The sequence below is a fragment of the Homo sapiens genome, chromosome 1 (genome assembly GCF_000001405.40).
Source record: "Homo sapiens chromosome 1, GRCh38.p14 Primary Assembly".
Lineage (NCBI taxonomy): Eukaryota > Metazoa > Chordata > Mammalia > Primates > Hominidae > Homo > Homo sapiens.
Genome location: NC_000001.11, coordinates 220,799,376 through 220,812,526, shown reverse-complemented (window position 1 = coordinate 220,812,526; position 13,151 = coordinate 220,799,376). Strand labels below are relative to the sequence as shown.

Genomic DNA, 13,151 nt, shown 5'->3' with positions numbered 1-13,151 from the left:
TTGACTTGGCTTGCTTTTCCTCATTCCGACTGTCACGATCTTGCTTCCAGCATGCTCAGACTATCATAATAACTTCTTAACCAACCTCTTTTCCTCATTCTCTACCTGTTTTCAATTCATTGTTGACACTGCACTATATCACTGTTTTAATTGTGTTCTGGTCTTATCATTCCTAGGCTCACAAACCTTCCGTGGCTCTCCAGTGCCTAAAGAATAACATTCCAACTATTCAGCCTGGTATGTAGGGCTCTACCTGGCCCCAGCCTGCTTTTTCAGACCTGTTGCCATCTGCTCCTTACCTGTGCCTCTGCAGCTCTCTGCTGGATTTCACCTTGCTTTGCATTGTACTGACTCGGTAAGTCCTCTGTGATTCCTGTGGGATGCTCCTCCTCCAGGTCCCCATGCTTTAGAATTGTACCTGCCTCAAGGCCCAAATCAAACACCACATCTCCCAGGAAGGAAGCCCAGGTTCCCCCAGCTACGAGTAATTCCCCCTCCTCAATTCTCTTTGCCCCTCCAATACTCACACATCTTGTCCTGTAATGTCAGGGCACAAGTTTGTCTGTTCTACAAGGCAGAGTCCCTGGAGAACAGGAACTGTGATTAATGCCCTTGTACTGCTCACGCCCAATGCCGGGCCTCCTACATCACCTGTGACCCACCATTGTTTGCTGGCTGGATTAGTATGCTCATGAGTAAAACCGTCTGTCAGAGGCAGTATAAATATGAATATTTTTGTCCAGCAGAAAATTAAAGAAGACGCAGGGAGAGGGTACATGAGCAGATGTGTGGGACTCACATGGCAAGATTCCCCCACCTTCCCCACTGGGAAGAAGTTAACCTTCAGTTTTTTATTTAATCTAACCCTAATTTTACATCATTTTTATATTTAAAACATTTTAGATAAATCATTCATTTTATTCTGCCTTGCTTTAAAAAAAAGTGAAAAAGTGACTGCAACAACTTGGTTCTAATGTTGTTCTTCAAATCAGAAATTGTTAAGGAGAAAACAGAGAGTCAAATCTAGAACCACCTTCTGGAGACCTGCAGCTCCTTCCCCAGACTGTAAACATCCTGTAGGCAGCACTGTGTCCACTTTGTTCTCTGTTGCATTCTCATGGCCTGGAACAGTGCCTCACACATACACTGTAACCACTCAAAAATAATGTTGGTTGAACAATGAATGAACAAATGAATGGATGAATGAAAATAACAAGCTGCTGATGCAGGCTTCCCTGCCTTGCCAAGAGTATTTCCTCTCTCTGTAATCAGGTTTCTGCAATGCCCTTGGACCTGACAAACCAGGCATCTCTCCTAGCCTGGCTCTCCTCTTTCAGCATGCAACATTCATGACATTCTGAGATCTATCTGTCAGAGGGTGACCTCTTCAGGAACAGGGGACACATCAGCTGCTTGTATGGGTGTTTCCGTTGCTGCCAAGCTCTGCAGTCTAAGAGTCCAGACTCTCATTATCTTGGGGAGAAATTGAGAGTTGGAGTTCTGCGCATCACACATGGATAGTTTATAAGGAACTTTACACATGTTCTCTTTTTTAATCCTTACAACCTGCTTATGTGGGAATTTGCCTTTTCTTCATTTTACAGTTAAGTCTCAGGGGGAGTAACAGACTTGCCTGAGATCACAGATCTAAAGGATCCAGCTGGGGCCAGAGCCCAGGCCTGGCTGACTTCAGAGTCTAGTGGACTCTTCCCACCCAGGATGTAACCCTGGTCGTCGACATCCTCCTGAGTACACCCACAGGCCTGAGAAGAACCGAGGGGTCTCACAATTTAGTCACCTACACCAATTTCTAGCCACTTACATTTTTCACCTATCCCTTCCTGCCAACCAAGCACAGACACACTCACTCCCCCACCAGGTAATGAGGAGCAGAGGACCGTAAAGAGCGGCTGCCCCTCTCGGCACAGCCTCCCTAAACTGCACAGGTCGGGGTGAGGGAGCTGCTTTGTGAAAGTGCAGGTGTGGTCACCGGCTCACAGGTGGCGGTCCACTCCGCTGTCTAGGAGTAGAAGCGGGAAGAGCTATGGGAGTGGAAAAGGGGTTCTCGGTGGGCCGGCCTGCCAGGGCTTTCCTACAGCTGCCTGGTTTTGCTGCGGGCTCTCACCGCCTCCTGCACCACCTCCTCTTGCTACTGCTGCGGAAGCCCGCCTCCAGGCTGTGGGAAGACTCAACGAGGTCACTAGCGGCGCCTTGTGGCACTAAGAGGTATTGCAAGCAGTCTATGAATTCGTGCGCACACTAAGTTCAACACTCTGAAACAGTATTCTTTCATACATGGGTCTTCTACGATTTTTTAAATATGTGACTTTTCATATATGTATTCCTGTTGGTATTAATAAATTAAAACTCATTTAAAATCTTCCTTAGTGCACTTTCTCCTTAAATGAACATGAAACATAACTATTCTAATGAGCAGGAAGCCCAAGACACTTTATTTAGCTTAAAACCGAGGTCTCTATTATTTACAAGGTGCAATGTAAATGGAAACAGTTTGTTACCGTTAAAGTGCTGTGCACCACAGAGGGCTGATCCTTGTTTACCCTGCCTGGTTTACGCATTCACTGGTCAACGTCCAGGCCATGACTCCAGGCAGAGTATCTGGTCACTGCCCGATCCCACCACTGGCGTTCATGGGACCATAAGTCACCAGCGGCAGAAGCCATTCCTGAGGCCTCATGACTGCCTATCTCTATGGCCAGGTTAAGAATTAAACAGCATTGTTAATCCCAATACTTTGGGAAGCCAAGGCAGACACGTCACCTGAGGTCAGGACTTTGAGACCAGACTGGTCAACATGGTGAAACCCTGTCTCTACTAAAAATACAAAAATTAGCCAGGCGTAGAGGCGCATGCCTGTAATCCCAGCTACTTGGGAGACTGAGGCATGAGGATTGCTTGAACCCAGGAGGCGGAGGTTGCAGAGAGCTGAGATTGCTCCACTGTGCTCCAGCCTGGGTGACAGAGTAAGACTCTGTCTCAATAAATAAATAAATTAAATTAAATTAAATTAAATTGAAGAATTAGACGGCATCGTGAACGTTCCTGGGAGAGGTGCCACACTGAACCTCCAGAGGCTGGCCGCTGGGCAAGTTCGTGTTAGGTTTCATTTAAAGCAGCCTCTGAGTATGGGAAGAAGTGTGGTCAGGCTTCTCCTCCTCTCAGAAGGTGTCAAGTTTATAAACAGTGACTCTCAATGACCGCAGCTTACATGGTCACTGTGTACAGTATTTTATCATCTATAAAAATCCTATATCTTGCCTTATTCCAGTCTACCAGAAGAGGTATTACAAGTCCAGTTTATACCAATAAAGAAACTGTGACTTGAAGAGCCTAAGCGACTTGCCAATGTCACACAATTAGGAGGTGACAGAGCCAGACTAGGGTGGAGAGTCTGCCTCCTCCCATGGAGTTACCACTGCTATATATTCTGTGTTTAGCTCAGCAGAGCACAGCCTGACACAAGTGGCTGCTGGCAAATGTCATTACTGTCACAGTATTCGTGCATCCAGCAAAACGTTTTTTTTTTTGAGTACCCATGCAGTAACTGTGCTATATTCTTTCCATTAGGGGCAAAATGTCATGGAAGCAACAACGGCAGACTCCAGCCATTCCTTCAACCATGGGGATCAGTGTGTACGTCACTTTCCCTTAAGAAAGAAAAGAAAAATTCCATTTTCATATCTTCCTGTTAGCAGACATGCCTCCACTGTGCCTCCCGCTGTGAGCATTTTACAGACAAAGGCTTCCCTATGCCTCTGTATTTCTTTTCCTCCCACTGCTGTACCACCGCGGGCTCTGCCTGTGGGTGACTAACATCAGGAGGCAGGGCTGGTCAGGCACAGAGGTCTCCCAGCTGAGCGCTGGCATTCCAGAAGCAACCCCAGCCATGGGCACCATGAGTGCCCAGAGGCAGAAAGTGGTGTAGCTCTGAGCAACCTGCCCAATAGCAGAGAGGCTGTGGACACCACTGTTTGCTTCCCTTCCCATGATTTATGGGATGTGGCCAGGCCTTTCTCTTCCCGATTTATGACCACCTGTCTTGGGAAGAACATAAATTACACATCCATGGCAATTTAAATCTCAGTAAGAGATAGGAGAAGACACCTAGGCTGGCCGCACTGTCTCCTGGGGTATTAGAAGCAATTAGGGCCAGATTGTTGGGCTTCACAAAGCCTGCGGAAGATCAGGGGGGTGTGCTGGCTCCTTGCGCCCCCCGCCTTCCCACCCTCACTCTGTGTTTAGGGTCAATTATCCTCCTTCTATAAACACAGGCTCCCAATGGAGGAAGGGGGGCACTGAAGATGCAGAGAACAAGCCCAAACACGTGAAGTGCTTTGCGGAGGCTGTTTCTGCAAGAGCATAAACCTTCTAAATCCAGAGGGAAGGATGCCCCACACCGAGCAACACACAGGGGGAAGAGAAAGAACAAGATGGACAAAAAAGGATGACAGCCAATTCCCCAAACCACTTGGCTGATTTACACAGAATCATCTATTTCTGTCCTGCCTCCTTTATTTTATAGGGAAGAACACTCAGGGTCTGAGTGCGGGCAGGGGTAGGAGCACAGCAGTCGGTGTGCTGCACATCCAGGTCTCCTGACTCCCAGCCCGGGATCTTCCCGCTGGCCCACCCTGCTTTCTGCCCCTAGTAGCTCCTCTGTGGCCATGGAAAACAGGAAGACTGAATTCTGGTTTGTTCTGATGGTGAGTGAGCGCATTTCAAAGAATAGCTATAACCCTGGTCCTCTCATCAATGTTCTGTCACATATAGTGACATTTCCCCCCAAAATTTTACTATGAAAATTCTCAAGCAGGCAAATGGTGAAATAATTTTACAGCAAACACCCATTTACCCGCTGCTTGAATTCTGAGCTTAACACTTGACTATATATATTTGTTTTTTTGTTTGTTTGTTTGTTTTTGTGAGACAGAGTCTCACTCTGTCATCCAAATTGGAGTGCAGTGGCACAATCTCAGCTCACTACAACCTCCACCTCTCGGATTCAAAGGATTCTCCTACCTCAGCCACCCGAGTAGCTGCAAATACAAGTGACCACCACCATGCCCAGCTAAGTTTTGTATTTTTAGTAGAAACAGAGTTTCACTATGTTGGCCAGGCTGGTCTCGAACTCCTGACCTCAAGTTATCCACCAGCCTCAGCCTCCCAAAGTGCTGGGATTACAGGCATGAGCCATCGTGCCTGCCCTTGACTATGTTTTCTTTATCACACATGTATCTATCCATCAATCCACTGTATTGTCTTTTTGCATTTCCAAGTAAGTTGCAGACACCAGTACATTTCAACTCTGAACAGTTCAGCTTGAATATTATTACCTAGAGTAAAAACCATTATTTGCTTTTTTTTTTGAGGTGAAAGTTACATGGAATGAAATATACCAATCTTAAATGCTCCACAATATTAGCTTTTTACAGAAAAGTTGTTAATGTTTTGAGTATTGAGAAACATCTCTCAAAATGTTGGGATTCCCTTAGGCTGGTCTGTAGCCCCCTCTTTGAATGTTGATGCAAATCACACCCAACGCTGTTGGAGCCAGGTAGAGACCAGCTGCTTGCTATCCACCTAAGGATTCCTTGAGTACCACAAACCCCCTTCTCCGTAATTCCCTCCACCCACCCTGTTTGACTTCCCTGCTGACCACTGTCTCTCTGCCAGGTGGCCTAGGCCCTCATGGCCACCTGCTAACCTTGCTGCAGCCTGGCCCACACTCTGGGACTTATCTCCTATAGGATGACAGGTGCTGGCCAGAGAGGTCAGGCCACAGCCTCATGCTCAGGGGTGAGGTGACAGCGGGGATGACAGCCCTCCAGCCCAGGGCTTCAGCTTGCCCAGAGATGGGGCCAGATCTGGGACAGTAGAATTGTCAGGGAGGGATTGGTTGTTGATCAAAGATGACTGAATCATTGGCCCCCAAAAAGGCCATGAGGTTGGTGAGAGGTGGAAGGAAGGGGAGGCAGACAACCTCACGTTACAGGGAATGAGTCCTGCTCCACAAAGCCTAGAGCAACCTCTCTGTCATGCGCTCGTTCATGATGGTTTGGATACAAGATAGTCACATCTCAACTGCATTCCTTCCTCAAGGTTCCCAGGGCCCTCCCTTCTACAAGATACACCTGGGGAGGCCAAGTCAGGACCAAAGCCAAGGAAGGGTCTTACACAAAGCCAAGGAAGGGTCTCAGGGGCTGTAGAGAAGAGACCTGACACCTGGCCTGTGACTCAGCATTCAATGTCAAAGGGACCAATGAAGAGAAGCACCCTTAGTTCATTTTCAGAGTTTCAGCAATTTCCTGGGTCCCAAATTTGGCAGATATCAGCTCTGAAGTGCTTGTATGCTAAACTGTTATTGTTGTTTTCACGAAAGTAATGCAGAGTAATTATAGAAAGTTTAGAGACTGCATATGAGAATAACCCTTTTCCATAATTCTATGACTATACCAAAAGAGTATCTCCATTTTGTTTTATATCCTTTCAGCCTTTTATCTACTCATGTGCATTTATATGTTTTTTAAAAAGTAAAATCAAATAAAAATGAAAAAGTAAATAGTGCTATTTTATAATCAACTTTGTAAAATCAACACAGCATCTTGACTATCTTTATATACAATTTAAAATGATTCTCGGTACTGTGTCTTTCACCTAAAATTTTTCCTTAAGAAATTTTAAAGTAAACATAAAAGTAGAATAGTGCAATAAACCCCACGTAATTATCACCCAGATTCTATTTATGAAGATTGTGACACATTTTTAAAATGTACTCATTTATCCTTTTTTTCTTTTTGCTAAAATAATATATGGCAAGTTCCAGATGTCACATCACTTCACTCCTACACACATATTTCAATCAGCTTCTCTAAAATATATTGACATTTCTTATACAACCACAATGCCATTAGGACACCTAGTACATTTTTTGGTATCATCTAATACTTAGCCCGTAATAAAATTTGTCAAAATGCATAAGCAATTTTTAAACATTGATTTATTTGAATTATGATTTCTAAATGAAAAATAAAAGTACTTGTTTAAGCAGACATGTTGGTGTCCAAAACACCAGGGAATGTTTCCCAAATTATCTCGTTAATGGGACCCTCTTGAGTTTCAAGACTATGTGTGTGGTGTTTTCACTGCTTCCTCTTATAAACATTAAGCAACAAATATTGCTTCCGTTCCCGGCACCTAAACCCGAGGATGAGCCCCGTCTGCCCAGTCCTACCTCTTCAGTGTTTCCAGCGGTTCCTTCCTGCTCATGACACCGGTGTCTGGGTCCACTGTGGTTAAAATGCATCTGGACACACACACAGAGCATCATAAGGGGGACAGAGCAGAGCGAACTTATCCCCACCTCCACCCCACAGGGACAGGAAAGCACCTTACCTGGAACAAGCCATCACCCTTTTCAGTTCCACGTCACCAATAAGAAGCTCATCCCAAGAATCCTAGGGGACAAAGCACAAATTCCCATGAGCATCTCTGGGCCCTGCCCCTGACACGTGTGTAGAGATTTCCCAGGAGCCCTCGCACCTAACGATGTCACCCACATCAGTGATGGCAGCCTTCTGTTCTCCCCCAGCCCTGCTCTGCCAAGTGATACCCACACACCTTGGCGTTCCCTCTCTCTGGCTTTGATATGCCAGTTGATTCCCCTGAGATGAGATTTCCCTCTCCTCTCACTTGTAAAAATGTCATGGAAACTCGCCTCGCTCAGGGAGGCTCCCTGATGATCCCACTTTGACTGGTGGTGGGGGGTGGGGTGCACAAAGTGAATGGGGTGGGTGAAAGTGGGGAGGGGGACAGATGGGGGCATTGTTCATTACTTCAGATTATATCAGATCCCTTAGTGCCTGCCTGAAGTTATATGGATCAAGAGCCTTAAGTCACTGAGTATGTGCATGTCTCCCCTAGCCAGATACGGACACATCAGGAGCAGGACCAGCAGCCTCATTCCTCTTTGATTTTTGCTGAAGTATTTACGAAGCACTGCAGCCAGGGGAGCTGTGGGCTGGGTCAGTGGAGCCTAGTTTCCACGACAAACCGCATTAGTGGACCAAGGCCCTCCAATCCAGCAGCCAAGATAGGCCATCCATACATGGAATTCTAAAGATAAATATTTTATTTTTAAATGCCAGAAATATTCACAAAAAGCACTCCAAGGCAGCACGTCATGTGTTGGTTTAACTGTGCTGGCAATGCTTACTCTGGGGATTCAGAGGCATGACTCTCCAGGCTGGTCTGGTTACAGGAAGTTTTATAAGGAATAGGTAAGATGGGTGCTGAGTCTAAAAGGGCAGAGAGTTTGAGAGGCACAAAAGAAGGGTAAGGGGACTCCAGGCAGAGGGGACAGCAATAAGAAGGAAGGGCGCTGAGGAGGCAAAGGACATTTGATTATAGTCCTGACCTTCTTACCCTCGGAGAGAATTGCCCACCACACGAGGGCGGAAGGCAAAGACCTGGAGTTAAAAAGCAAACTGCCTTGTCCTTGGATGATCATGAGCTCAGAATTTTAACTCCAATAGTGTGTGTTATTCTTGATATATATGACACAGGGGTTTTGTTCTATCGTAAATCATAAAATGGATCTCAAGCACATATTTTCAACAGTCCAGAAAACTGGGCACAGCGGATTAGCACAGCCACAGCCTGTCCTGTGAACATTTCTCCACAAGGGGGCACTATGGTCACAAAAAAACACATAAAAAGGGTATAAAAGGAGAGAAATAAGGGTTCCACTTAGGAAATTAAGTTATTATTAATTAAAGAAATACTTCCAGAGCCCCTTCTATTCCAAAAAAAAAACTACTGGAGATTGAGTCATAAGCACTGATGAGCCCAGGAAAGTCTTCCTACAGCACCTGGAGGTGACCAGTTCAAACAGGACAAGCCTGGTATGGGAGAGGCTCAGAGCACACGGTAGCTTCAGAGAAGGGAGGGAGCGCTTTGAGGTCCAGCAATCAGAGCAGGCTTCCCAGGGGAGGGGGCTTTTAATCCAGGCTTTTAGAGAATGTCAAGAGTTTTAAGTAGGGAAGGGAGTAAGATTCTCAGTGACCAGGAGACACCAGTTTGCAGTTTGGAGCTTTCGTTCGTGATATGGTTTGGCTGTGTCTCCACCCAAATCTCATCTTGAATTGTAGCTCCCATAATCCCCATGTGTCATGGGAGGGACCCAGTTGGAGGTAATTGAATCATGGGGGCGGGTCTTTCCCATGCTTTTTTTGTGATAGTGAATAAATCTCATGAGATCTGATGGTTTTATAAAGGGCAGTTCCCCTGCACGCACTCTCTTGCCTGCCACCATGTAAGACGTGCCTTTGCTTCTCCTTCACCTTCTGCCATGATTGTGAGGGCTCCACAGCCATGTGGAACTGTGAGTCCATTAAGCCTCTTTTTCTTTATAAATTACCCAGTCTCGGGTATTTCTTCATAGCACTATGAAAATAAACTAATACAGTTGGTAATAAAGGCTGGAAAAGCAGACTGTGGCAAGGTTACAGAGGAATGTAATGATTGAGTGGGAAGTTTGGACCTTTGTGACATGGAGAGCCACTAAAGGCTTCTGAGCAAGTCAGCAACACTGATGATTTGTTACAAACTTTTAGAGCGGGAGAGATCACGCTGATCAGCTCTAGGAGGCTTGGCTGTGGCAACATTCAGGAGGGAGCACTCAGTGGTCCAAACTTAAAGTAACAAACGTAGGATCTGGCTGGTGGCTAAGGATAGAAAGGGGAGCCGACATGGCTGGGGCTGGGAGGAACACAGCAGAGGGAGGAGCCAGGGCCGACTGTCACGCTCTGAGCCTGGGTGAAAGAAAAAAACATGCTGCCCTGGATAGAAACTGTGAAGTCAACAGAAGGAGTTTGGGGGCCAGGCGCAGTGGCTCATGCCTGTTATCCCAGCACTTTGGGAGGCCAAGGCGGGTGGATCACCTGAGGTTAGGAGTTCGAGACCAGCCTGGCCAACATGGCAAAACCCTGTCTATACTAAAAATACAAAAACTAGCCAGGCATGGTGGCGTCTGCCTGTAATCCCAGCTACTCAAGAGGCTGAGGCAGGAGAATCGCTTGAATCCGGGAGGCGGAGGTTGCAGTGAGCTGAGATCATGCCAGCGCACTCTGGCCTAGGTGACAGAGCAAGACTCTGTTTCAAAAAAGAAAGAAAGAATGAGTTTAGGGAGGTGGGGTGAGGGTGTAGGGGCTGGGGTGGGAGCACATAAGTCTGAGTTTCTCTGTCAACCAACAAAGAGTTGGAACTGTGGTGCAGCACTCCAGAGGGAGTCCTGGGTGGACATTTGAGGGACCTATGTCAGGTGACAGAGGGCGATGCTGCAGGAGACAGTGTGATCACCAAGGAGGGGAGAGAAAAGGGTCAAGGCCAGAACTTTTGGAAGTAAGGGATGAGGACAAACAGCAGAGAAGCAAGGGCAGTACAGCTAAAGGAGAAACGTTTCAGTAAGTAGTGTCCATGTGTCCTCAGAGCGGGGTGGTGGTGACTGAGAAACGGTCACTGACTGTGGCAGGTAGGGTGGTTGTCTCTACTGTGGCTTCAGGGAGAAGTGAGGTGTAAGAAATGTGTGTGGGGAGTGCCGATGATGAAGGGAGGCAGCGAAAAGCCACAGTTGCTGAGAAGGTAGCTTCCGAGATGAGGAGTGGGTCTGCTTTCCAGAAACTTCCATGCAGGTCCTCGGCCTTCCTCCATGCTAGCCTGCTCTCCCAGCTGCACCCTGGCCCCGCCTGCGCTAATCCTTCTCCAGGCTCCTGGCAGAGGCAAATGTGTATCATGCAAATCGGATTCAGTCACTCCCTGGCCAAAAATTCTTCCCAGACTCCCCAAAACCTGACACCAAGTACCTGTGCTCTCAGCTCCCCTCCTCTCCTGAGCCCCAGCACTGCAAGATGGCCATTCTCTCATACCTTCATAGCCCTGTGTATGTACCCCTCCCTCAGTGCCCCCCTTTCTCCTGGACAATACTTTGTCCAGGTCATTCATTTAACAGATAATTAGTGCACACCTTCTATGTACCAGGGGCTCTCCTAGGGGCTGGAGATACAGCAGCCCCTGTCCTCAAGGAGCTTGCATAGGGGAAACAGACAATACACTGATACCTGAGTACACACGGCTTGTTAGGTGGGGTGTGTGCTGTGGGGGGGGCTGGGTGAGCGGGGTCAGTGAAGCCCGCAGCAGGGGACTGAAAGAGGCACTGGAGTGAGCCATGAGGCCTGTGAGGGAAGATATGCCAGGCAGAGGACACAGCTGGGGCCCAGAAAAAAGGCCAGTATGGCTGGGGCAGAGTAAGAGAGCAGAGGGGAGTGAGAGGAGAAGGGGCTGGGAGCTGGCGGGGTGCAGGTCATGTTGGGCCTTCCAGGCAATCCATAAGGATCCCATCTTTTACTTGAAGAAAGGTGGAGAACCATGAGAGGGCTTTGAGCAGACAAATCACATGATGTGACTTACATCAACAGGGTTACCTTGATGGATGTGCTGAGAACAGCCCATGGATGGTGCAGGGCTGGGTCAAGGGTGGGGCAAGGAGGCCAGTGAAGCCAGGCTGCTGCAGCACCAGTGGTGACTGCATCCGGGCAGAGAGGGGAGTGGGGGGGAAGGCCCAGCCACCAAGATCTGTCAACTGTAGGAACCTAGGATGTGAGAGAAAGAGAAGAACAAGGGGTGGTTCGCAGTTTGGGGCCTGAGCCAGCGGAAGTCAGAGCTGTTGTGTGCTGAGATGGGCGAGACAGCACAGCAGGCTTTGGGGTGGATACCTGACCCTCAATTTCAGACATCCTGACGTTGGATTAGACATCCACATGGAGATATGGAGAAGCAGGGGAAAGCTCTGGCAGAAGGATATAGTTAGGGGTCCTCAGGGCAGAGAAGGTCTTAAAAACAGATGATTAAATAAAAAAAAAAAAGGAAAGAAAGAACAGATCAGAAAAGTGAGTGCAGACAAATGAGAAAGGGTTTGAGACCAGAGCCCTGGGTGCCCCATGCTTCAGCTCACCCCACAATGCAGGTGTTAGTCACGTCCCCACGTCTGGCTGCTCGCCACCCTCCTGGCCATATCTCACTGTGCTGTGACTTTTCACTATCTGACCACACTGAGCTCCTTAGGAGAAGCAAGTGCATTTCTTCAACCCTTGTTCTCATGTGTCTATTCACAGCGCATGCCACACAGGGGCAGCAACCCACTCGATGATGGGTGAATTACTAAAAACAAGGCCGGCTCAGCCACCATTGTGTTACCGCCCAGCTTCACATACAGAATGTTCTCAACTAGGGAACACTCAGAGATAGAGAGAGAGATACGGGTTTTTAGAGTAAGACTCAATTGAAAGAAATCTCCGAGATCTGAAGTTCTACTCTGGGCCATCTCCTCTTCTCCTGTCATCCGAATCTTACTGTCACAGAATTTTGGGGTGGAAATGGCTTCAGCATGACCCTCGGTGCACAAATCACACAGGGGAGAAAGAAAGCTTAAAGTCGATCATAGGGAAAAAGCTGGTACCTGAGCCAAACTCCCAGGAATGAAACTCTTCCTTACCTCCCTGTGGTACTTAATGTCCTAGAACTTTTCCACAAATTGTCATCGACCTTGATTCTCACAGCTCCCATCAGGCGAGGGAGTCATTGAAACTGCCCGTGTTTTACAACTGCAAGAAGCAGATGCCTCGGCGAGTTTGGTGACCTGTCCAGGCTTGTACGGTCACTTGCGGAAGCAGGTGGATTAGAATCCAGCTGTCCCAGCCCCATACATATGCCCTAGAATTCTCAGGGTTCCTCTGGCCTTGTACAATTGGGGTTCAAAACCCAGCCCCTCCTTGCTGTGGTATAGCCTAGGGCAGGCCACCTCACCTCCCCAAGCCTCTCTCTTCTCTCCTGTAAGATAGGAATGATAGCTTTATCCCGCTGGGCTGCCGTGAGGCATAGAAGAGACAACATACTTAAGCGCAACACAAGTATTCATTCAAAACCCTCCCCACTCATTTCTCTTTTCCTGAGAAGGAACGTTCTCAGGAGAAATGGCTCTCCTAGCCATAGCTGGTGGAAGATGAATATCAAGGAGATGGTCAAAGGCAACCAAACACTGATTATTTTCCTGTTGTCTAAGTCAGGCTGGCCCATGG

The 13,151-nt window shown here is 47.6% G+C and overlaps 1 protein-coding gene across 6 annotated transcripts in view; it reads right to left on the bottom strand.

Annotated features, from left to right (window-relative positions):
• Positions 1-13,151, bottom strand: part of MTARC1 (mitochondrial amidoxime reducing component 1) — a 32,747-nt gene that overhangs the window by 7,133 nt on the left and 12,463 nt on the right. For 5 of the 6 annotated variants that reach the window (XM_011509900.4, NM_022746.4, XM_011509904.4 and 2 more), the window contains exons 5-6: positions 7,414-7,475; positions 7,253-7,324 (exon numbers count right to left, since the gene is read on the bottom strand). In XM_011509900.4, the coding sequence (XP_011508202.1) occupies positions 7,253-7,324; positions 7,414-7,475 (134 nt within the window). Of the gene's footprint in view, positions 1-7,252; positions 7,325-7,413; positions 7,476-13,151 lie in introns of those variants that run through there. The other variant, XR_001737362.2, reaches the window with a different exon arrangement.